This window comes from Homo sapiens, chromosome 1, assembly GCF_000001405.40.
Source record: "Homo sapiens chromosome 1, GRCh38.p14 Primary Assembly".
NCBI classification, from domain to species: Eukaryota; Metazoa; Chordata; class Mammalia; order Primates; family Hominidae; genus Homo; species Homo sapiens.
Genome location: NC_000001.11, coordinates 161,956,811 through 161,980,497, shown reverse-complemented (window position 1 = coordinate 161,980,497; position 23,687 = coordinate 161,956,811). Strand labels below are relative to the sequence as shown.

General features: G+C 46.3%; 1 protein-coding gene across 4 annotated transcripts in view, besides 2 other annotated features; it reads right to left on the bottom strand.

The window, feature by feature from the left end:
• Window positions 9,112–9,281: an enhancer, noted in NCBI's record as "experimental_558 CRE fragment used in MPRA reporter constructs". NCBI's record gives its function as "activates a minimal promoter by MPRAs in K562 erythroleukemia cells, with activity observed for the non-introgressed 1:161941092 or rs61809500 variant allele {active_cell/tissue: K562}" and the evidence as "EXISTENCE:reporter gene assay evidence [ECO:0000049][PMID:34662402]".
• Window position 9,196: a transcriptional cis regulatory region, noted in NCBI's record as "Neanderthal adaptively introgressed variant 1:161941092 (GRCh37/hg19 assembly coordinates) or rs61809500 in the experimental_558 CRE". NCBI's record gives its function as "modulates activity of the experimental_558 enhancer by MPRAs in K562 erythroleukemia cells {active_cell/tissue: K562}" and the evidence as "EXISTENCE:reporter gene assay evidence [ECO:0000049][PMID:34662402]".
• The window catches only part of ATF6 (activating transcription factor 6), a 197,751-nt gene continuing 190,491 nt past the window's right edge, over window positions 16,428–23,687 (bottom strand). For all 4 annotated transcript variants that reach the window (NM_001437597.1, XM_011509309.1, NM_007348.4 and 1 more), the window contains exon 16: window positions 16,428–22,052. In NM_001437597.1, the coding sequence (NP_001424526.1) occupies window positions 21,844–22,052 (209 nt within the window). In that variant the 3' untranslated portion in view covers window positions 16,428–21,843. The remainder of the gene's footprint in view (window positions 22,053–23,687) is intronic.

Genomic DNA, 23,687 nt, shown 5'->3' with positions numbered 1-23,687 from the left:
ATATTTTGTTATATTTGCTTCATCTTTTCTTTCTTTCTTTCTTTCTTTTTAAGACAGGGTCTCACTCTGTTGCCCAGGCTGGAGTACAGTGGTGTGATCATAGCTCATTGTAGGCTTGAACTCCTGGGCTCAAGCCATCCTCGTGCCTCAGCCTCCCGAGTAGCTAGGACTATAGGCACGTGCCACTAAACCCAGCTAACTTTGTTATTGTTTACTTTCTGTAGCAATAGAGGCTCCCTATGTTGCCCAGGCTGGTCTTGAACTTCTGGCCTCAAGTGATCCTCCTGCCTTGGTCTTCCCAGTAGCTGAGACTATAGGCATAAACCCCTGCACCCAGCCTTTCATCTTTTACAAACTTTTTTGTGCAAATATTTTAAATTAAGGACAGCATGACATTTTACCCAAACACTTTCGTAAGTATCTCTTAAGGAAATTTTTAATATAAACTTAACCTAACAAGATTAATTATGATTCCTTAAAATCAATAACATACAACCCAAATTTAATTTCCCCAATGTTCCCAAAAGTGTCTTGTATAGCTGGGACTTTGAACCAGGATCAATCAGTATCCACACACTGAATTATGTTTTTGTATCTGAAATCTCCCTCTACCTCCTCTCCTTTCCTCTCCCCTCCTCTCCTGTCAACTTTTCATTTTGGAATAATTTTAAATTTACAGAAAAGTTGCAAAGTAGGAAAGAGAGTTCCTGCACACCCTTCAAGTAGTTCCCCCTAATATTAACATCTTGCATAACATAGTATTTGTCAAAGCTCAAGAAACCCATATTAGTGAATTATTGTCAGCTCCAGTTAAGCCTCTTTTCATCTAGCATGATTCTCCCTGCCCGACATCTTTCTTTCATGTCTTTGATTTGCTGAAGAAACTGTGTTGGGTTTTTGGTGACACATCACTTTCTGGATTTATCTGATTACCTCCTTCAGGTGTCATTTAGTTTATTCCTCTGCCATGGTCTGAATGTTTGTTCCCCCCACCCCCAAATTCTTATTTTAAAACTTACTCCCCAGTGTGACGCTGTTGGGAGGATTAGGCCATGAGGACAGAGCCCTCATGATGGAATTAAAAGAAGCTCCAAGGGCGGGATGTAGTGGCTCACACCTGTAATCCCAGCACTTTGGGAGGCCAAGGCCGGTAGATCACCTGAGGTCAGGTGTTCAAGACTAGCCTGGCCAACATGGTGAAACCCCATCTCTACTAAAAATACAAAAATTAGCCAGGTGTGGTCATGGGTGCCTGCAATCCTAGCTACTTGGGAGGCTGAGGCAGGAGAATTGCTTGAACCCAGGAGGTGGAGGTTGCAGAGAGCCGAGATCGCAGCACTGCACCCCAGCCTGGGCAACAAGAGCAAAATTCGGTCTCAAAAAAAACAAAAACAAAAACAAAAACAGAAGCTCCAAGGAGGCCCCTTGCCCCTTTGGCCATGTGAGGGCACAGCAGCAAGGAGTCATCTAGGAAGCAGAAGTGCCCTCACCGGACACTAAACCTGCCGGTGCCTTGATCCTGGAATTACCAGCCTCCAGAACTGTAAGCTATAAGTTTCTGTTGTTTATAAATTACCCAGTCTAGGGTATTTTTGTTATAGTGATACAGACAGGAGACAGGGAAATACTGGGTAGAAGAGGGCAGTTCCCCAGCAAAGGCCCCACCCTCAAGCCTGAAGACACACAGCCCTAATTGAGGACAGACATTTCTGTTTTTGAGCCCAAAAAGTTGCCTTTTGATCCCCCACGCACCCTGCATCCTGCCCCCATATAAACCCAAGACCTTAGCGGGAACACACAAGTAGCTTGGCAGTTCCCCCAATAGGGAACATTGGGACTAGCAGACCAGCAACGGCGGAACAATGCGGCAGAGAAAGAGAGACCAGGAGGGACGCCTGGATACCGACGGGAGTTCGCCCGGGGACGGTCGGAGAAGAGTCCAGCCACTGGGCAGCCCGACTCCAGGGGAAGACCACCTTCCCACTGCATCCCCCCGTTCTGGTTCCCCATCCATCTCTCGGAGAGCCACCTCTGTCACTCAATAAAACCCTGCACTCATACTTCGAGCTTGCGTGTGATCCGATTCTTTCGGGACACTGGGCAAGAGCTGGGGATACAGAAGGCAGAGGGTCCATTGAGCTGATTAACACACAAGCCGTCTTCAGACAGCAAATCTGAAAGAGCCTTGTGACACACGTCTACCTGGGCTTCCGGAGTCGCAGACATCCGCCCCTAGACGCTGCTGTGGAGCCAAAGCCCAAAAGCAGATGCGCCGGCCTCTGCACGTGTCCCTAGGGGTTGCTGGGCGACTGAGCAGGCGAACCACACCCCTGTCTCGCCTGCTGCCAGGGGAATCAGGGAACTCTCCCTTTTCAATAGTAGTCTGAAGGGCCTAAAACATCCTCTTTCCAGCTTTTGCCTTAAAGTGGAGGTTAGATCTAAAAGCTTGATTAGATTTAGGAGAGACATTTTTGACAAAAGACTTCATTGTGATGCTGTGAACTTGGTGCTCCATATTTTCCGTATTTGTCCTACTCTTTTCAGTGCCTTTTGTCAACCTCACCACCCTAGGATGATGCATTGCAAACACCCCATACATGTTCTGCCTGCCTCCTTGGTCCCCTCCCACCCCCACACATCTGCAGTTCCCATGCTGACAGATGAATCTTGCTTTGGTCCTGTCCCTGTAACCACTGTCAGGTTAAATAAGAGTGCCTCCTGGGCAGTAGTCATCAAGCAGGTTTGGTTTTTTCCTGTCAATATCCCCATGAATTTATTTGGTGGGTCTAGTTCTTTTCCTTCTCCTGGACGAAAACTTGGACAGACCCCTTGATTTCTCTGGCAACTCTCAGGTAATAAAAAGTCCTGTGGTCATTTTAAATTAAAACAAGAACAACACAGACTCTGTTGGGTAATTGAAACAGCCAGTCCATTTTAATCATCAGAATGTTGAACTTGACTTCAGGTTGCTGCTCCCAGCCTCGTCCTTGCTGAGGCCACTGGTGAGGGGTCATCCACTTCCCCCATGGCTAACTTTGGTACCTGCCCTTCCAGAGTTGAGCAGGAGAAAGAGGGGAGGACAAAGGGGGCAGGAAAGGTGTTACTCTGTGGGTAAAGTCATAGGGTCTAGCACTCCTGAGAGGTGCTTAAAGTCTCCTGAGCACTTTTGTGGGTTCTTTGAAGAACTCCCCCTTTTTGCTAGGGATGCCTTGTCACTGTCTCTTCACATGGACTAAAGCTTCTCCATTCCGGCTGGTTGTCCTCCCCTTCCCCAGCCCTTAGAAATCTAGGGGTACATCTGGCTGATTCTACTGGTATCTCTGCCACTCTAAATGGTCCACTTGGATAGGACTTAAGATGACCCCATTCATGGACATATCTGGTGCACAGAAAATTCCCGTACATGATGTATCCTGACAAAGCTGGAGTGCAGGTTGGTCCTCAGCTAAGTCGTCTTTGCTGAAGAGTAGCTAGCCAGCCCACCTTCTCTCGTTAGGTCTCCCAAATGGGAGTGCATCACTGGTCCACTGTTAGCCCCAAACTGCAAAGAACATGGACTATGTGCCCCAAGAAGTTCACTTAAAACTCTCTTCCCTTAGCCCTAAGATAAAGGGCAGGCACGTCTCGCCCCAGGGTGGAAGGGGTGGGACTCCAGAAAGCTCTCTCCAGAGGAATCCTCTTCTAACATCCTCTTTCAAAGTTTCCAATTCTCAATTCTTTTACACTCTTAATGTGGTTGAAGAGTTTAAAAGTCTCTAACCAGTTTCCGGACACCTCTTTGGTGAATGTTGCCTGCGGTCTGGCCCATCCTTTGGAATGTGAGATCTGGCATCTCCTGGGGCCTTGGCTGAAAACTCCCACTCTTATACCCCATAATGCTTTGGCAGTTCCCTCCTCCAAGGATGCCTTCCCAGCCACCCTGCCCTTCTTGACACCTTAGACTGTCCTCAAGATCCAGCTCAAGTAAAGTCTTGTCCGATTCCTTAACTGGAGCAACAGTAGCCCTTACTACCATGCATGGCACTGACTACATGTGTCTTTTTTTGCATGTATTTGTATTTTGCATGTATTAGAACAAATCTGATCAGTTCAGTGAAGTTTCTCTCTCTGGAAAAGCAGAGGCTGTTCCTTATTCACCCAGGATTCTCCGCAGCACTTAGCACAGAGCCTGACTCACAATACCTGCTCATTAGGGATGTGCTAAATGAATAAATGAATGAACAAGGAATTAATCTTGGCCATACAAAATTCAAGGTCACATCAGTGCCTTCCCAAACAGGAACGTGACCAAAGTCACAGGCCTTCCTGCAATCTGTATTTGGGGAGCCATTCTCAAACAGTGCTTTTCTCAAGGCTATCCTGCCCACAGACTCACAGTGCAATGCCCACAGACCAGGTGGATCTGGTTGCTGGAACTCAGGAAGTTGAAGCTTGAGAAGTGCAGGCCACTCTTAAGAGAGAATCGCTGCAAGGGCCAACAATCTCCACCCTGCGGTCATCTGTGAGCCCAAGACGTGTCCTGTTCATCTTACGTCGCCAAGGTCTCAGTGAGGATAATGGGCTGTTTCCCCACTTGAAAGGAAGAGACACAGAATTATGCCTAGTTTCTCAACCAGTTATACAATTAACAGGAAATATGACAACTTGGGGTTTTTGTTGAGCACAGACAAGCAATATTCAGTGTCTGAGGCCTTGATCCTGGGGGGGTTTGGTGGGTGACTTCAGCCCTCCTGACCAGGGAGCTTCATGTGGCTGCCCATGTACCCTCAACAGCCAGGTCGTCTTCCCTACCTCCTCCATCAATGCTTGACTTTCTCAGTGTGTCCCCAACCATCATGAAATCACAAATGGGCACCAAGAAAATGTCTGGGACTATGACTTTCCAAGAAGACAACACAGAAGGAATATTTGCTTTTTGAGAGCATTCTAATATTCCTTATGGACTTTAGGAATCCTTGGTTTTAAGCAATAGAAATAGAGTTTTTCTAGCTTAGGCAAAGAGGAATTTATTAGGAGGATACTTGGAAGTTCACAGACTCAAAAGAAAACCTGGAAAATCAGGCCATGGGAAGGCAAGAAGCAGGCTGGCTCTGGGCAGCAGGACATTCTCTTTGAAGATACCTTCATGGGAGCTTCTGTTTCAGCCATGCATAGAACCCAGTTGTCTCCATTCAAGACACAAATTTTTAGGAGAGAGTCTGGTTAGTGAGCTTGGGTCCAAAGACCACCTTGTCACCAGGGTCGGATTCTGTGGTTGACAGCTCCACCCTAATCACACCAAGTCGGGAAGGGCCAGTTCCCCCAGTGAAGGGCTGTTGAGCAGACAAAAACAAACAAATAAAAACCAAAAAACAAAACCAGATGTCTACTGAAAACAATTCCACTAATATATTTGAAATATGATTCAATTTTCCAAAGTTCAGTGTATACACAACTCTTTGTTCAACTGAATTTCTCTTTTCCTACTACCTGCTGGAAAGTTTAAAGTTCATAGCAAGCATGTAGGATTTTGATGGTGTCCACGTTGCCTTTGTGTCTCTCCTGGTTCTATTTTATGTTTTTTGTTTGTTTGCTTGTTTGTTTTGTTTTGTTTTTGTTTTTTTAATGTTCCTTTATCTCTAGTTTGCTGCCTTGGTGTATGCTGTGACTTTTTTTTTCTGGAATAAGGCAGAATATAAATGAGCAGATTATCTGTGACTCTTCAGAAATGTATTATGGTGTAAAGCAAGGTTTGTCTGTGCTGCGAGTTTTCCCACTGGAAGGGCTTGTAGTCTGGAAGCCAACAGTGACAAAGATGTCATCGTGGCACGGAATCCCTGGAGTTCTCTATTTTTAAAGCTTTCCCAGAGCAATTAGATGCAGACAAGTTGCATCAAACTTTTACTGCATAGTATTCCTATGGTTAGGGGAATGCAATTTGACACATGGTAAGACAGGCCAGTTGAGAGAGAGAGAGAGAGAGAGAGAGAAAGAACAAGAACAAAGGGAGGTTGGCTGAGGCAACCTGGGGCCAGGCCCTGCTCTGGGGTTATTTTCCATGTGACCTCAGCTGAGCTCTCTCTTTCTGGAGGAGCCTGCCTGGCTCTGGAGCACCAAGGAAAATTTGGCAGTGCCTGAGGGAGTTAAAGTGCGGCCAGCAGCAGCAGGTGCCAGGAAAGGGCTGGAAAACGCTGGTGAACTTCCCAGAGTCACACAGCAACTTCAGTTATGGTTTGGAGAGGAAAGTCTGGAGTTGGAGAGGAAAGTCTGGGGTTGGACAGAAAAGTGGGAGGTCTGCCAGCTGCCCTCAGAAGAACCCCAGCTCCACCCTCCAACCTCTGTGATAAGCTGGCTTTTCCCCCCTGAGCCCAGAGGTTAGGAGAGGCCCGAGGGCTGTGCGCTTAGCAAGGATGTCTTGGTTGTGGAGATCAGAAACCCACTCAGCCTGGTTCAAAGAGAAGCTAGCTGTGAGAGCGCCCCAGGCAGTCCCACAGATACTCAGTGAAGCTTCATGCTCCTCTCAGGGACCGGGACAGGAAATTCTGGAACTGTGTCAGTCCTCCCAAAGTGCTGGGATTATACTCCTCTGAGCCCTCAGAGCTCTCTCACTTCTGCTCAGCAGCAGCACAAGGAGCCTCCCCAAGCCGCCCGAGCTCGAGCATCCACGACTCCCCATCCTCTTCAGACTCCTGAGGGGCTCAGCTCATCTGTCCATGCTGAGCATGTGGACTGACCATATCCACCCCTTGTCCAGTCAGCCGTATAAGGAGGAACAGGCCGTGTAGACCCCTAGGCTCATAGGAGGGCTCAATACATGTGGATTCCATTGGGAAGGGTCAACACTCGTTCTTCCTCTAGTGGAAGGGCCACTGAGAGCTTCAGGGTCCAGATTGACTCCTGTCAAGAGCACTGTGGGAGGGATTCCTGCACCCCAGGGCTACTGGGCTCAAGGACTCTGAGGACACGAGGTGTGTTTGGTCACTGAAGAAGAGCAATGCTCTGTGACTTCCGAAGAAACAGACTCAACTTTGCAGGCTGACACCTGCATAGCTCCTGCTGGGGACCTCTTCCAGCATGACTCTCTTGAGACAGAGCTACCCAAGTTCGAGGAACCATGTGAGCCCTCGGAGGGTTGTTCAACACCGATTTCACATCGAAGTGGTATTTGAATGCAGAAAGTTGTCTACCCACCAGCTTCACTTCTGCCGGGGCCAAACAGGCCTTTGCCAGGAGGCTGCAATGGCTCCTGAGTATCTCTTCCCTGCCTGTGCTCAAGCTGTTCTCACCCCTGCCATGCCTGGACAGGCGTCCTTCCCCAGTCACGACCTGACTGACCTCTCCCACTCCCTTAGGCCTTAGCCAAAGCCCACCTCCCACAGGAAGGCCCCAGCCCCATCCTCTCCTCCCCTCTCCCTTGGGCTTCCGCACCTTTGTCTTAGCCTGCCTGGCATCTGGCCGCCTCCCAGCTACTCACGCCTGTGTGTGCTTTCCTCCCTAGCCTGGTTGCTGGAGGACGTCTCTGTGTCCTGTCAGAGCGCGGCCAGGAGAGTAGAGGGGCTGATGGGCTGATGTCGGCTGCCATCAGAGAGCTCCAGTTCTGGTCACACAGAAGGACTTCTGACCCTTCAACAGCCCCTAGAACCCACCAGGGCCCAGTGGCCCCTAGTTCACCCTGCCCCTCTAGCCCTCTCTTCCAGCAGTGGAATTCCCCTCTGCCCCCGAAAGACCCTAGCCCTGTGCTGACTCCCTCACCTCACAATGGCCACTTCTGTTATGGAGTGGCCATACCCTGCTGTGGCACATTTTCAGAACAGAAAGGGCCTTCACTGGAACACCCTTGGGGTTACGGCATTCCTGCAGAACGCACTGGCCTATTCTCTGCAGATCTGCAGGAGACAGGCCCCTGGGTACCCAGGGTGAACCCCACCCCTAACTTCTCTCCTCTCTCTTGAAAAAGAAGGGCCAGTAGCTGGCACTGACCCCAGGCTCTGCTGCATTTCTTACTCTGAGGAAAGCCAGTCCACATTTTGTTCTTCTGTGAGGCCAGGCCATTGGTCAGGATGGACATGAAGCCGCGCAGAGAGAAGGGAGTTCAGTCAGGCGGTGAGGAGCGGAGGCCCCAGGCGGCTCTTCTGCAGGAAACTGCTGTCTGGAGGCATGCAAGGCGGCTTTCCACTGTGGGGCACAAACCACTGTCCTGTGAATCCCCAGAGCACCTCAAACCTAGCTGGCAGGATAGTCCAGGGGAGATGACAGTCAGGGAGAGAGGACAGTCTGGGGGGAGATGACAGTCTGAGGGACAGGACAGTCTGAGGGAGAGGACAGTCTGGGGGAAGAGGACAGTCCAGGTGGAGAGGACAGGATAGTCTGAGGGACAGGACAGTCTGAGGGAGAGGATAGTCTGAGGGAGAAGACAGGACAGTCTGAGGGAGAGGACAGTCTTGGGGGAGAGGACAGTCCAGTGTAAGAGGACAGTCCGGGGGGAGAGGAAAGTTCATGGGGAGAGGACAGTCTGAGGGACAAGACAGTCTGGGGGAAGAGGACAGTCCAGAAGGAGAGGACAGGACAGTCTGAGGGACAGGACAGTGTAGGAGGACACTCCAGGGGGAGAGGACAGTCTGAGGGAGAGGACAGTCCAGTGTAGGAGGACATTCCAGGGGGAGAGGACAGTCTGGGGGAGAGGACAGTCTGAGGGAGAGGACAGCCTGAGGGAGAGGACAGTCTGGGGGGGAGAGGACAATCTGAGAAAGAGGACAGTCCAGGGGACAGGACAGTCCAGGGGAGAGGACAGTTCGGGGGGGAGGACAGTCTTGGGGGGAGGGCAGGTGTAGGGGGACGACAGTCCAGGGGGAGAGGACAGTCCAGGGGAGGGGAGAGGACAGTCTGAGGGAGAGGACAGTCTAGGGGGGAGGGCAGTCGTGGGGGGGAGAGGGCAGTCTTGGGGAAGAGGACAGTCCAGGGGAGAGGACAGTCTGGGGGATAGGACAGTCTGGGGGAGAGGACAGTCCAGGGCGAAAGGACAGCCTGAGCCCAGGTGCTGAGGGGCCTGCCATGCTACGGAAGAGTGAAACTGGCTGGTAGATACACTCAGCATCATGAAGCACTTGATGTTGACATTAGCTTTGAATAAACCCAAATGGTTCACCTATCTTGACACTGTCAGGAAAACAGTTCCACTGGTGGGGAGCACTGATTGCAGGCTGGGCTGGTGAGGGTCTTCATACCTGCTCCACCCTGTGCTGTCCCACTAGCAAAGATGGGACCTGCCCGCCCACTCCCAGGGCACACTGAGAACCGAGGGGCCGTGTCATGGGCTGGTATTTTGACTTTGCTGATGGCTTGTCATAGCAGGTGGGTTACAATCACACCCACTTGTGAGGCGTCTCCTGATTTTGTACAAAGTTGGAGTCAAATCTTTCCTCTAGGAATTTAAGAACCTGTATAATTTTTCTTGGTTTTGTCTTCAAAGTTTTTTTTTTTTTTCCCCCTGTGACTCAATATTTGGATGTCTCTCCCTGAGAGAAGCCATTAGGGTAAGATCTAAGAATCAGGCTGGTGCCAACCTTAGAGAGGGGGAGCTGCCTCCACCCCAACAGTCACGGAGACAGAGGCCTGCACCCACAACTCACCTGCCTGTCCCTGGGGCACCGCCCCTTGGCTGCCATGGCAGCACAAGCCGGCTCCCCAGCAGGGAGATTTCAAAGAGGGAGGGTCTGGCTTTCTAGCCACAGACCCAGAGCTCCTTCCTCTAGGAGCTCTGCAAAGTTTGGAGGGGAGAGAACCTTCAGGACAGAAGGGAATGAACACACAGGCAAATTGCAGTGTCTTCTCCCTTGCCTGAGGGCTGCTGTGAGAAGGGGTGCACTCAGCCTCCCACTGGCCTGAAAGCCCGAAGTGGGGTGGCTTTGGCTGGCCCGCTGTTTGTGGTTTGTGTACTATTCTCTCCCTCCTGGTTTACCGTTTCTTCTGTTGCTTCAGGCTTCTTCTGTGTCAGCAGTTATCCTCTTTCCCCATTCCTTGCCCAACCCAAACCTTCTCTCCTTTCCTTTGCAGTTCTTTTCACATCTTTCTGTTTTTGTTTTTGTTTTTCCAGTTTCCTGAGGTCTGGGAGCAGACTCTCCATCTTATTCTCTCTGCGCCGGGGCCTCCCCCCACCACTCCTCTCCTCTCTCCCTTTTCTCCGTCTCCCCCTCTCTCCTTCTCCCGGCTCCCTCTCCCTCCAAGAATATGCCATTTCCCAAAAAGTTCCATTTTCACAGCCATGGTTATTTTCATGCATTTCCCCGTTCTAACATCGCAGAGGAATGTCTGACATCATCTCCACAAGTGAATCCAGCACTTTCCAGCCCCCACCCCTACCTCTCTCCCCTCCTTTCTTTACCAGCTGTTTGCTAGGTTTGGACTTTGATTATCCAAAAGCATTTTTTTTTCTTGTTCCAGGGACCCTACTCCACCCTCAACCTCTAGGATGGTGTTGCTCCATAAACATCAGAACTAGACCTCAAAAGACAGCGTCCATTGGTTCCCAAGCTTTTCTGCACATTAGAATCACCTGGGGAAATGTTCACACTCCTATGCCCAGGTCACACCCTCTACCAATTCAGTCAGAATGTCTGGGGGTGGGAGCCACGCACCAGTATTTGTTAAAGGTCCCCAGTGGTTCCAAAGTGCAGCAAAGTTTGAGAACCACCAAGCTAGGGCTGAAGTGAAGGGGATTCCAGCCTTTAGCCAACTCTGCCCATGGAGCCTGGGGCACACACCTTGCCTTCAGAGCTGCGAAGGAGGGGCCACGAGCATTCTCTCTGGGGTGCCCCTGCCCAGCGCTGGGGGTTCTCCCAGCCACCTAGTGAAGACCTGCTCCAGGGAGGCTGACGGCCCCCTCCCACAGCAAAGGGTGCTGGTTCGAAGCAGGGGCTCCCAGGAGTTCAGTGCCCAGGAGAGCTGTGGACCTGTTGGGGAGCAAGCAGCCGGTTCCGCCTCTCGTCCTGGATGCATCCCCCGAGCCTGGATGGTGGCTGACTTGGCTGAGTGCATGCATCTGATTCCTTAATCAATTCTTTTTTTCTTTTTCTTTTTCCATAGGGTGTGGTAGCTAGTGCAGTGTGACAAATGCCAGTCTATCATGCACATTCCTGGAAGGACAGTGTATATTTGTGGCTTTCTAAATGCTCAATAATTCAACAAAACCTGGATTTCACCTAAAATGCCCAAACCACCATGTCCCAAGCACACTATATCCACAGGCCTGATTCAGGCCTCTCAGCTGGGAGTGCAGCCACCCAGGGTGGCAGCAGCAGGGATGGAGGCTGTGGATGCTGAAGATGTAACCCCTGTGGACTTCCAAAAATGCAGCACACACACACAATTCTTTCTTTTTCTTTCTTTGCTTTTTTTTTCTTTTAATGGAGACAGAGTCTGGCTAGCTCTGTCGCCCAGGCTGGAGTGCAGTGGCACGATCTCCACTCACTGCAACCTCCGCCTCCCAGGCTCAAGCAATTCTCTTGCCTCAGCCTACCAAGTGGCTGGGATTACAGGCGCGCACCACCAAGCCTGGCTAATTTTAGTATTTTAGTAGAGACGGGGTTCCACCATGTTGGCCAGGCTGGTCTTGAACTCCTGACATCAGGTGATCCTGATATTACCACCCACCCCAACATCAGCAGCCAGGGGAAGGTTCATCTCTGGCAGGAGTCTGCATCTTCCCATTCTCCAGTCTTGCTGACAGGGAACTACACGGGTGTTTCTCAGTCCCCTCTCAGAGTCATCTGGGGAACTTGTTGAAACACAGGGTGCTAGGCCCGGCCTTGGAGTCTGACTCAATGGGTCTGGGTTGGGACCAGAAAAGTTGCATTTCTAACAAGTTTTGAGGTGCTGCTGCAGTCTCAGGGCCCCGCTTGCAGACTCGCTGGTTTACATCCTCTTTCCAGGCCCATTTCTAATATGCCACAGACTGAAGCCAGAGGAAAAAGCAATAGGATGAAAAGAAAAGGGGAAGGCTGGGCCCGGTGGCTCACACCTGTAATCCCAGCACTTTGGGAGGCCAAGGCGGATGGATCATGAGGTCAGGAGATCGAGACCATCTTGGCTAACATGGTGAAACCCCGTTGCTACTAAAAATACAAAAAATTAGCAGGGCGTGGTGGCGGGCGCCTGTAGTCCCAGCTGCTTGGGAGGCTGAGGCAGGAGAATGGTGTGAACCCCAGACGCAGAGCTTGCAGTGAGCCGAGATCGCGCCACTGCACTCCAGCCTGGGCAACAGAGCGAGACCTCATCTCAAAAAAAAAAAAAAAAGAAAAGAAAAGGGGAAGAGGAAAACAAATGATGCCTCATCTTTTAAGGGAAGGCAGGGATCTCTGCTGTTTTCCCTTGCAGTCCTGCCTCAGCACTGGGCATCGCACATACTGCAACTTCTGTGCCCTGTGAATATCTGAATAGGGTGCGGTAGCTAGTGCAGTGTGACAAATGCCAGTCTATCATGCAGACTCCTGGAAGGACAGTGTATATTTGTGGCTTTCTAAATGCTCAATAATTCAACGAAATCCTGATTTAGCCTAAAATGCCCAAACCACCATGTCCCAAGCACACTATATCCACAGCACTTTTGGAGGAAAAAAATCGAATTCAAGACATTAGTAGGGTTCCTGCTCTTCTGGAGCTCACTGTCCCACAGGGATGATAAATGTTTACCTGGTAATTGCAAAGGCGATGGGAGTTAGGAAGGGATAAGTACAAGATGCTGCTATGGCAACAAAAACAATCTTTCTATGAGTGGCCTTTTCCTTCCTTGGACTATTTGAGCCCTGCTGCCTTGTACCAGATGATAAATCCTGGGAAGATGGAATCGGCCCCAACCGTGCTGCTACTTGCAATGTGCTTCTAGTTGTGCTCCCCTGGGTGGTGACCTGTAGAGTCATTTAAAACAAGAGATTAAGTGTTTCAGCATCTTTCCTGCTCATATTGTCTAAATTAAGACGAATTTCCTGTTCCCCCTAGCTGGTGATTTGATGGAGACAGCCTAGTTGGATGTGTGGGGGTTGCTGTAATTCCGTCTTCCTAAAGGTTGCCAGGCGGAAGGGGACAACATGTCGATCTCATGTGAACGAATGGCTTAGCAGAGAAGAATTCCAGCAACTCCAGGAAACCAGAGACAATATGGCGAAATGGATCATTTGATGTCCTGGGGCCAGCAGCCAAGTGAGTGGGTGAGATCTGTGCCCATGGCAAAGATGCTGGCCATGAACCTCCCACCCCCAAACTCTCCTGAGAGTAGCTTGTGTCCAACTGAACTTTCTTTTTCAGGCTGACCAGAAATCTTACCCTCACCTGGAAATGATCTTTACTCTTCTGTGGGGACAGAAGGGTGACCACATAGTCCCATGGAAGAGACATAACTCATGTGTCTAGACATGTAAAGGACATGTCAAGGATGTTGTCTAGTTCATCTGTATGGTTTCCTACAGCTCCATGGTAGATGTTGGAGCTTCGCACAACACTTAGAACTAGTGGCAAATGTTTAAATTCCAGGGCCATTGCCTCTAGCCCACTATGAAGAAATGCAGCCCAAGAATCGAAGCTCCATTGGGTGCTCAGGAAATGGAGATAACTCGGAGGCTTCAGAAGTCAAGCAGGACACCTAGGGAAGGAGCATCTGAGATGGCTTTTGAGGTTCTCAGTTCTTCCTTTGTACCCAGTTGATGTTTGCAGAAATATGGGCTGTACTGTAAACAATTGGCAACAGTATTTTCTGTTAGCCTTGCAAGGTCCGCCTTCCAAATGGATACAGCTTTTAGGACTGACACTGCTGCACTCAATCTTACAAGATGATCCATTTATTAATATGGTGTGTTGTATTTATTTTAAAGATATATCCTTCACTTCTGAAACAAACCATTTCAATTTTGGGTCTGCAGATTAGTGATCTCTTACACAAGCATCTCTATTTCATAGTCCAGCATCCACATCAGCAGTTAATTCTGCAGTGAAAACTTTCTATAGAACTTGTGATCACAGGGAAAACAGTGGATACATCCTGGGATGGAGCTGGATGCCACACTTGGGTGGGCTTTTGGATATGAGTAGAGTAGGAGAGTTAGGAGAGCCTAGGATCTTCAATTATGGAGGAGCCAGCTTGTATCCACCCCACTGGGTAACTCGTCCAAGATGGGGACTACAAGGACTGAGGTCTAGAAGAATTGGTGCAGCAGCCCAGCATGGGCTCTGCATGCAGCCAGCATCGAGTGTATGCCTTCTGAGTCACTCATAGAAAACCCTCGAGTACTGCTGGACCTTGCCTCTTAGCGACTCTCCCTCTTTCCTGAACATGCCTCAATACCCTGGTTGCCTGTGTTGTGTGGCTTGGTTTCTTCCTCACTCATTTGTCTCTTTATGACTTCAAAGGATGAATGACAATGTAGCATAGTAGAAGGAATGTGGCTTTAAAATCATGACAGACTTCATTTCAAATCTCAACTCTGCTATGTACTAGTTGTGAGATCCTGGGCAAGTTACTTAATCTCTTGTGACTATTTCTTCATCTGTAATTCACAGACATAGGTATTATTATGTCGATGATGAAGGCTTGCTGCAAAGTTCAAATGAGCTAATGCTTGTAAAGGCTTAGCATGATGTCTGGAAGGTTAAGTCCTCAATAAGCATCAGCTCCTACTCTGAACTGAACTAAGAGAACGATTCTCTTCAGGCATTTGCACAGATCATGCCGAATGAATACGACGGAGTGAAATATGCGATAGGTTTCCTATGGTGAGCAAAACATTGGAAGTGATTTAAATCTCTACCAAAATTGGACCAGTTAGGTAAATTACAGGGTAAATGCTAAAGAGGCCCTCTATCTATGATACCATGTATTATATAACCCAAATGTCATTTGTGGTTACCCTTTGAGATTCAAAAATTGGCTTGAACCATATCCCACATAGAGTGAGAAGTCCCAGGGGACAATGCCATAAAGATTGTGGGGGCGGGGTGGGGGGTTGGAAGTTTTTATTTCCCTGTTTCACCTGACGTCCACTGACACTTCAGTGTATGAATTATCTTGCTGTGCTGTCTTCTTCTTCACTAGTAATATCATGTTGAGTCCTACCTTCAGTCTCTCACTCCCAAGGCAACATTGATACAAAACTGTGTATCTGCTTTTACTGAAGAGTTGGGGCAATGAAGAGGATTTGCATTTCAGCATCACAGTTTGTAAAAGTCCTTTGCCCTCCTGCCACCAGGGGGTCTTTTCATGACACTCCCCTTGGGGGCTTTAGTCTCCAGCCCTATTCCTTGGTCCCATTTCTCTTTTCTGCTGTTCAACCCTCTACCCTCCAATCTCTGCTAACTTTGTCTGCAGTAGAGGTGATTTGAGGTTGGTCTCCTAGATGAGGGGGCGGGGGGGGGGTCTCATTTTCTAAATAAGTCCATTAAAGTATCTTCTGAAACAAATGTAGTTTTGCCTCTCAGAGAACCCTGATGTTATTGTAGTTTTGTAATTTATGTATATGGCTCCATGGGCTGACTGTGAGCTCTTTTAGGGCATGAACTTATGCCAGATCTATGTATCAGCAGGTGGAATAATATAATGGTGAATAATTCACATAATTGCCTGGGCCCAAATATTGGGCCACTATTTTTTAATTTTTATTTTTGAGACAGGGTCTCACTCTGTCACCCAGGCAGGAGTGCAGTGATGTGATCTTGGCTCATTGCAACCTCCGCCTCCTGGGTTCAAGTGATCCTCCCACTTCAGCTCCCCATGTAGCTTGTAGCTGGGATTACAGGCACCTGCCACCATGCCTGGCTAATTTTTGTATTTTTTGTAGAGACAGGGTTTCACCATTTTGCTTAGGCTGGTCTCAAACTCCTGAGCTCAGGTGATCCACCTGCCTTGGCCTCCCAGAGTGCTAGGATTACAGGCGTGAGCCACTGCACCCAGCCAGCTCCACTACTTATTAATAACCATCTTACAAAATAGGATGTAGAGACGATTGAAATAAGATAATATAGTTAATAAACCAGTGTCAGAGGTAATCATTGGGTGCTCAGTAAATGCCTGCATTAATTACTCCTGGATGGATCCCTTGCTGTCAGTCTGCAGTGACTAGCTTCAGGTGTGGTGGCATTTGCCATTGCAAGCTGGGAAGAGGCCTTTGGTGAGGACAAGATGCGTGACCGAGTAACCCACTTTCCTGAAGACATAGATAAAATATGGGTTTTTAGATTTTTTTTTCCTTGATAAGATTGTAGTTTAAATATCTGGACACTTAAATAAAGGAAATTTTTACTTAATTAGGCTTGGGAGAAGAGTGGAAAATAGTTCAACAGTTTCATCTGAACAGTAACACAAGCCACAAAGCCTTTTCAGGCTTCCTTTCCCATTACTAACCCCCCAACACTGAAGATTCATTTGGGGGCTTTTTTCTCTCTTTCTACATACAGAATAAACAAGGTAAGTTTAAAAATTCTTTATTTGAATTTTAGAGAAATAACAGGTAGTATAAAGACTTGCTTGAAAGTATGAAATAGTCTGTTGTTATTATTTCTTTAGGTTTTGCAAACCAACATCATTATTAAGGGAGAGAATGGTACATCTCTCCTCCTCATCTTTAACACGTTCTTCAATTGGCATGGGTACAACCTGAGCAAAAAGATCCTGGTGAAATGGCATCTCTAACACTCCCCCCTCAGTTCTAATGGCTCCATGGATGAAGCCCTACTGGACTTAGACCATCCATACTTGCCAAAGTGGTAACAGGAAACCAGTGCCTCTAAGGCTAGTAGTGCATAGTAGTTTTCATCTAAAGCTCTGTTTCCCCATCATCTCCTCTGTCCTGGTGACTGGCCTGGAAATTATGGCAAGGATGAGTTAAAATGGATCAATATACAATTGCTGTGAAAGTCAACCTACTAATCTCTAGCTGGGATTAACATAAAGGGGATATGCCAAGCCTCCTGGTTTATTCAACTTCATTGAGAGCAAACAGCACAATAGTGTTGTTTGTTGGCCTTGGCAAATGATAAATTATGATTTATTTACTCCTTAGTTACCAAACCTAATATAATTAAAAGTATTTTAGTGTGCTAAATCCCTAATGCTTAAAGTTAGCAAACCAATATGTTGAGAATGGCACCCACTATGTGACAGTGGCTGGCCATGACATGGATTCATGCGTAAGATCAAATTTTCTAATCAGATACCTTTGTCATTCTTCTTTTCATAAATTCTATTGCATCTAATAACACACATATTAGAACAAATGGCCGAAAGTTCTAGTCTTACCCAAAATAAACTGTTTAAAGCTTAGTCATTAAAAAGATAAGAACAGAACACACTTTACTTTCTTTTTTTTAGGTAGGAGAAAACTGCATTTCTTTTACGAGCATAGTTCCTTTTGGATTCTGGCAACATCTTTTTGGGTAGTCTAGTATTGTTTCCTAGGAAATTAAAAATCAATCCCAATCCCTGTGGGTGGAAGAAAATGGGAATATTCACTTCCAAATGTTATTAGGGGTGGGAACGAACATTTCTTATATTTCATTCTCTTTTAGGCTTTATTCTTGTTTCTAAAAGTTATAATTGGTATTCATATTAGCAGCAACAATCCTAATTTCTGTAAGTTAAAATGACTCAGGACTGATGAAAATAACATTTGTGGTAAGGAATATGGAGTCCACAGGTGGTAATAAGTGTCTATCAATTTTGGCAATTCACAATCTTATTTAAGAGGTTAATTGGTATGAAATAGCCAATAGTATGAAAAGATCTCAGTCGGCTGAAGGAAGCTGAGTCAGCCCATCAGTATGCAGTGGAAAGAGGGCTTTCATGGCTGGAAAATTTCCCATGACTTCAGAGTGAAAGGGGGCATCAGATCAGGCTCTAACTCTTCAGGCTGTGAAAGCAAAAGTGGTTACTTCTAATATGTTGTTGAAAGTGAAAGTCACTTTGAAACTTTGCAATGTGTTAGAAAGTCAAATACAATTATAAGTTTTTCCTGTAATACATTTCTGTCAAGTTTCACAACCTAAGCTTGGTAAAATGGCAAGAATCAAAAAATAGTAGGAAAGTGGCAAAGAGCTTGAGAGTTTTCCAGTTTTAACGATGCTAAATGCCACCACGGCAGTCTCACCAGCATCTCGCTGCGGTGACTACCGGGGAATACACACAGGGGAGGAAGGTTCAGGCTAAGATTTAGTCAGGATGATGTCTCTTTAAAAATGATTTGAAAAATCAATTTGAATCCCAAGTTCCTTTTCTGTTTCTAAACTTACTTGGAACACTTAAGAATGACTCACATAACATTGCTTTCAAATACCTCCGTGTCAACTTCTTACTGGCAAGAAATGGCAAAGAAATGCCAGTTTTGTGCTGGAACTTGTAGTCATTAAAAAAAAAAATTAGATGATGCTCTGAGTTTTATAATCGTGAGGGATTTTTTACTTGTGAAAACACAAATCCCACCCAAAACTCCATGTGAAGTTTCTGTACTACAAGCATGGCAAACAGCAGATTTGTTTCAAGGATGATCCTTTCACATTAACTCCTAACTTTGGAGTTAGTTTACACTAACACTCTAATGAAGCTGTGTCCCTGTACTGCTGGGCATAAGTCAACCCCAAAGGGACAAGCTCCTAACATCTGATTCAGTAGTTAACATGAGGAAACATCCACTTACTTCCATTAACCCTTAAAAATTTGGGACTTGCAACCAGGCAGAAAGACTATTCCCATCAGTCTCTACCATCACTTCCCAAGAGTGTATTATTGTCAGCCCCAAGAGCACAAAATCATCTAATAACAGGAGGACCTGCCTCCTCCATGAGTTTATCTAATTGTCTCATAAGCTTGCACAATCCTGTTTAAAATTTAATAAATAAAAAAATACACACATTACCCACAATTTCTGGCTGCAACCCCCAAAAGGCAATCCCACCAAAAAAAAAAAAAAAAATTAATCTGGCATGGCAACTTCTCATTTCCTAAAGGGCCTTGTGCATACAAACATTAAAATAAAAACTACAATTGTGCCTAGGGATTAATTATAGCTTTGCCAGCAATTTAAAAAGTGACTACTTCTTTGCATTTGTCAATTGCCTTTCACTCATTTCCTGAAACTCTACCCTTAGGAGAATCCTGTCCCCTCATTTCAAAGATCCACTCAAGAACAGGCAATGACAAAGAGTAGAAGGGCTAGTGAGAGACAAAAGAAGGCAAAGCTCCCAGGCTGCTCTAGGCGGCACCTTACAGGCACCCCTAGCTCTGTGGCAGAGCTGCCGGCCCTGCTACCACCTTCCTGCTCTTCAGTGGAGACTCCCTCCCAACCGCTACCCACCTTTTCACCTGGAAGAGAGGGACTAACGTTGGTGAGTATGACATAACCAAAGTCTTGCATCTGAGGAGTTGGCAAAATGATGATAGAAAAAGCTGGGAATCGAGGGATGAAGTAAAAGTGAAGCGCTAAGAACAAGAAGGCCACGAGATGGGTCCTTCTCCTGTGATTCTGTCACAGAGAGGAGGGAAACTCTATTTATAATCACCCCACACAAACCAGGTTTACATTGACCATGATAACGTATGACAGTTCCAGCAGAAGATTAGCATCTTGGGGATGACTATGTTGCCACTGTCTACTAGCCATGGTCACAGCCTCTGGTGTGGCTAATTCACATTACAGAATGGGAAGGGGCAGGGCCAGAAGAAATATCCCATGATAAGACTGCCCAGTCACCTGAAGGTCTTCTGGGCATTTGCCTTATATTCCTTGGCACCCAGCAGAAGAATGGTCCCCAGAGAAAATGGTTCTTGTCTGAAAATCACCCAGGATAGCCAAATCTAAGGGGAGTGCTGCGCTGCTTAAAAAGGTTTGTAATGTGGAAAAAGAGGAAGGTTAATTAGCACTTTTCAAACTCCAGACTCCCAGGTAACACAACAATAAAGCCCTGCTTTTCCCCGCTCACAAAAGTTGAACTGATTTCCTTGGAAAGCATTTAACTAGCTTGGACAAAGAGGCACCTGTCCAGAGAGTTAGAAGTGCTGATGGTTCTTTAAAATTATTTAGGAGCCAGACCTAATTTCACAGGCAGAAAACTAACTAGCTGCATATAATCCTTGAGAGGTTGCTACAATTTCTCGTTCCCTTTCTTGTAAGGAAGAAGAGAAATTGATTGCTATAGTGTGGAACAAGAAGAAATCTGACAAAGGCAAGTCAACTGGGGTAAGAAACAGTATTTGTAGATGAGTTACATCAAAAAATTGAAAAGTTTTGTAGGAGAGGGAGGAAGACTCACTTTAGAAACTGAAAGGTAGAACATTAGAGAGGACATCGCTGTATGAGATCCAGTTCTATGAATTCATCAAATGAAACATAATTGTCTACTATGGTGAAAAAAGAGGCATAGTACAGTAAAAATGAACACAGCTTTTTTTTTTTTTTTAACCATGGGAGGACAAAAGATTTAATTCCTTCACTATCTTTTCGTTGGAGAAACTGAAAATTATTGCCATATTATGGGATGCACTCCCTCAGCAGGAATCCACGTTCACTAATCTGCGTTGTTTTAAGGAGCAAATACTTGTCAATTCTTCAGTGAAAAAACTTTTGTCTTGTTTAAGTCTAAAGTTACTTCCATATTCCTCAGCTGAATTTGGTATAATTTCAATAGAAGAATGAATGAAAATGAAAGCTTTGTCCTGTGGTCCATGAGGACCTGGACCAGATTAGTAGAGAAAACATAAGTATGTGTGCTAATACTTGGTGGCCTAGAGTCCCCAAAATAAACAATAGTTGTGGCTTTAATCTCATACTGCAGTCACATCGAACTTTCCATCTTTTTTTTTTTTTTTTTTTTTTTTTGAGACGGAGTCTCGCTCTGTCGCCCAGGCTGGAGTGCAGTGGCGGGATCTCGGCTCACTGCAAGCTCCGCCTCCCGGGTTCACGCCATTCTCCTGCCTCAGCCTCCCAAGTAGCTGGGACTACAGGCGCCCGTCACTACGCCCGGCTAATTTTTTGTATTTTTAGTAGAGACGGGGTTTCACCGTTTTAGCCGGGATGGTCTTGATCTCCTGACCTCGTGATCCACCCGCCTCGGCCTCCCAAAGTGCTGGGATTACAGGCGTGAACTTTCCATCTTTTAAACATGTGTATTAATGGAGCTATCTCCTCTCTCCAAACCCCACCACTGGCCCTTCCCTTACCCTTCTATTTTCTCAAATTTGTACCCACTCCCTGACCCCCTTTGTTTAGGTGTGAGCCACAAATCCTAAGTAAAGATAAACTTTACCAACTGGGAGTTTTTCCTTTTATCTAAAGCTCCAAATTGTTTTGCTTGTTTTTGGAGTGTTTTTGGCTTTTCTGGTTTTGAAATGTGTTTTCTCAAATAAGCACAATATCCAGAATGGGTTTGCATTAAATGAATGAAAAATCGAATCAGTGGAAACCATTTGAACATGCATGTGTGGCATAGCTTTAAATAAAATTCACTTTATGAATCAATAAGTGAAATGGCAAAAAGGAGAGGTGGATATTATTTAAAAGAAGATGACTGTTTAAACACAAAACCATCACAGAGGGAAGAGAGGTTTAGAAAGGTACAGAAAAAAAAATCTACACCAGGTAACACTGGAGGATGCAGGGCTACATTTGCCACTGAAGAAACATTGTTCTCTTGCATCTGAATTCCAGTGCTTTCCAAATAGATGGGTAGATGATGAAAAATGGAGCAGCTTCTTTTATTTCTTCTTCTTTCCTCCTTGAATTCTAGTACGAGACAGTTCTCTGCCTGCCACCAAGGCAGAAAGCAGCATTTTGCTCACCTGCTCTTCAGTCTGGCAGGGTCCCACGCTCAGTTTTCCAGCATAGCTGCAGGGTGCTATTGTAATGACTCAGGGATGGTGCTGACAACGTGGGTTGCCTCTGTGGCTGCGGGAGGGGAGCCAAAGAAGGTGTTGGTTTGATTCCTCTGCTGATCTCGGAGGTAAGGAGGAACTGACGAACTTTTGATATGGAGGATCCTGGTGTCCATCACCTGACAGTCAATCTGCATCATCACTTCGTAGTCCTGCCCATTGATCACATTCTCTGCAGACAGGAATATACACAAAGAATAAATATTCAACAGAATGTGCATCTCTGCCATAAGCTTCAGCCCCAGAAATACAGAAATGTGCTTTAAGGGTGTGAACTGTCAGTAAACTTTCAAGGGGTGCAGAGGGACTCTCAGTCAGTAAGCAGAGCTACAAGTGGGCTGGGTGCCAGGATCACCTGTTCTCTCCCAATTCTAGCTCCCAAACAACCTCCATTGACTAAACAACGGCTAAAGCAACTGCCAGGGTTAATAATGCCACAGAGCATCTGTCCACAGACATCGTATATCTTGTATGCTTTCTGTGCAGTGTATTACTCTGATTGGAGCAACTGGAACAGAAGGGCTTTTTAGTGGGGAATACAGAGAAGAATCCCTAAGTCCTCCTCCCTGCCTTCAACAATGGGAAGAAACAACTGTCAAAAGGACCAGCATTCCATGTGAATGGTAAGGAGACCCTGGCCAAGTACGCTTAGCTCCTATTCATCAGTAATATTTCTGACTTCATTAAGACACTTCCAACTATGAATTTAAAGGTTTGCCATTAGGAGTGTGAGGTACAGTGAAAACTGACAAGTTATAGACATCTGACAATTATGCTCTTTTCCAGAGATCACTTCCCTTCCATATTGAGGCGATCTTTATTTCCAGAGTTCCTGATTCCAGGCACAAAGTGTCAAGTACAATTCCAACATGGAATTAAAGGGAGTCTACAGAACTTGCAGGTAAGCTAGAGAATATTTACAGAAGGGAATGGGAAAACCATATAGAGTCATGCTTTCTACATATGGGGCAACTCATTATCATGAGTTTAAAATACACAGACACAGACTATACTCCATTCCTACTTCTTAAGAGGATAAAAGCTCTTTATTTTAGGGAGAGGACCAAATTACTCCCTGATTTGTAATTCTGGGTGGTCATCTTCCAACTTGTAGTCAATGAAACTTAGACATAAAACTGATGAGAAAATAAATAATATTTTTCAAGCCCAACTGAACAATCACAGCAATACAGTAAAAAGATGTGTGAACATGGGAGAATTCTGAGTACTTAATATGGCATCTGAGTTTGCATTTTCATCCATGAATCCAGAGCGGGGTGTGGGGCTGGGGAAGAACTGCCGGCAACAACCTAGTTCTGTACTGCCTTTCTACAAAGATGACACAGAGCCAACCAGTGATTTTTAAAATTAAATGTTTGGCTTTTCCAAGACAAAGAATTGAATTTAAACGTAGAATTCTTTCTATTCTACTTTTTTTTTTTTTAACTTTGACACTGAGCATGCCAAGCATTACAAATCTGGAGGAAGAAAATGCAAAGTCTGACATTTGGTCTTCAGATTCCATTGTTATGTATGGGACAACTATGCTGTGGAGCTTGTCACTTAGAGAGCTAAAACAGACTTTTGGAGATCATCTAGTCCAGGGTGTCCTAAATTCAGGTCTAATTTATAGACTTCAGGGAGTCTGTAAGTTCCCTGAAATCATACGCAAAGTTTTGTGTGTGCATGTTTTTGGAGAGAGGGGCCATCAGATTCTGAATGGGGTCTGTGACCCCCAAGAGTTAAAAATTATTAGACAGATCTAATCTATCAATTCTAAGTGTCTTGAGCAGATGATATATTCTAT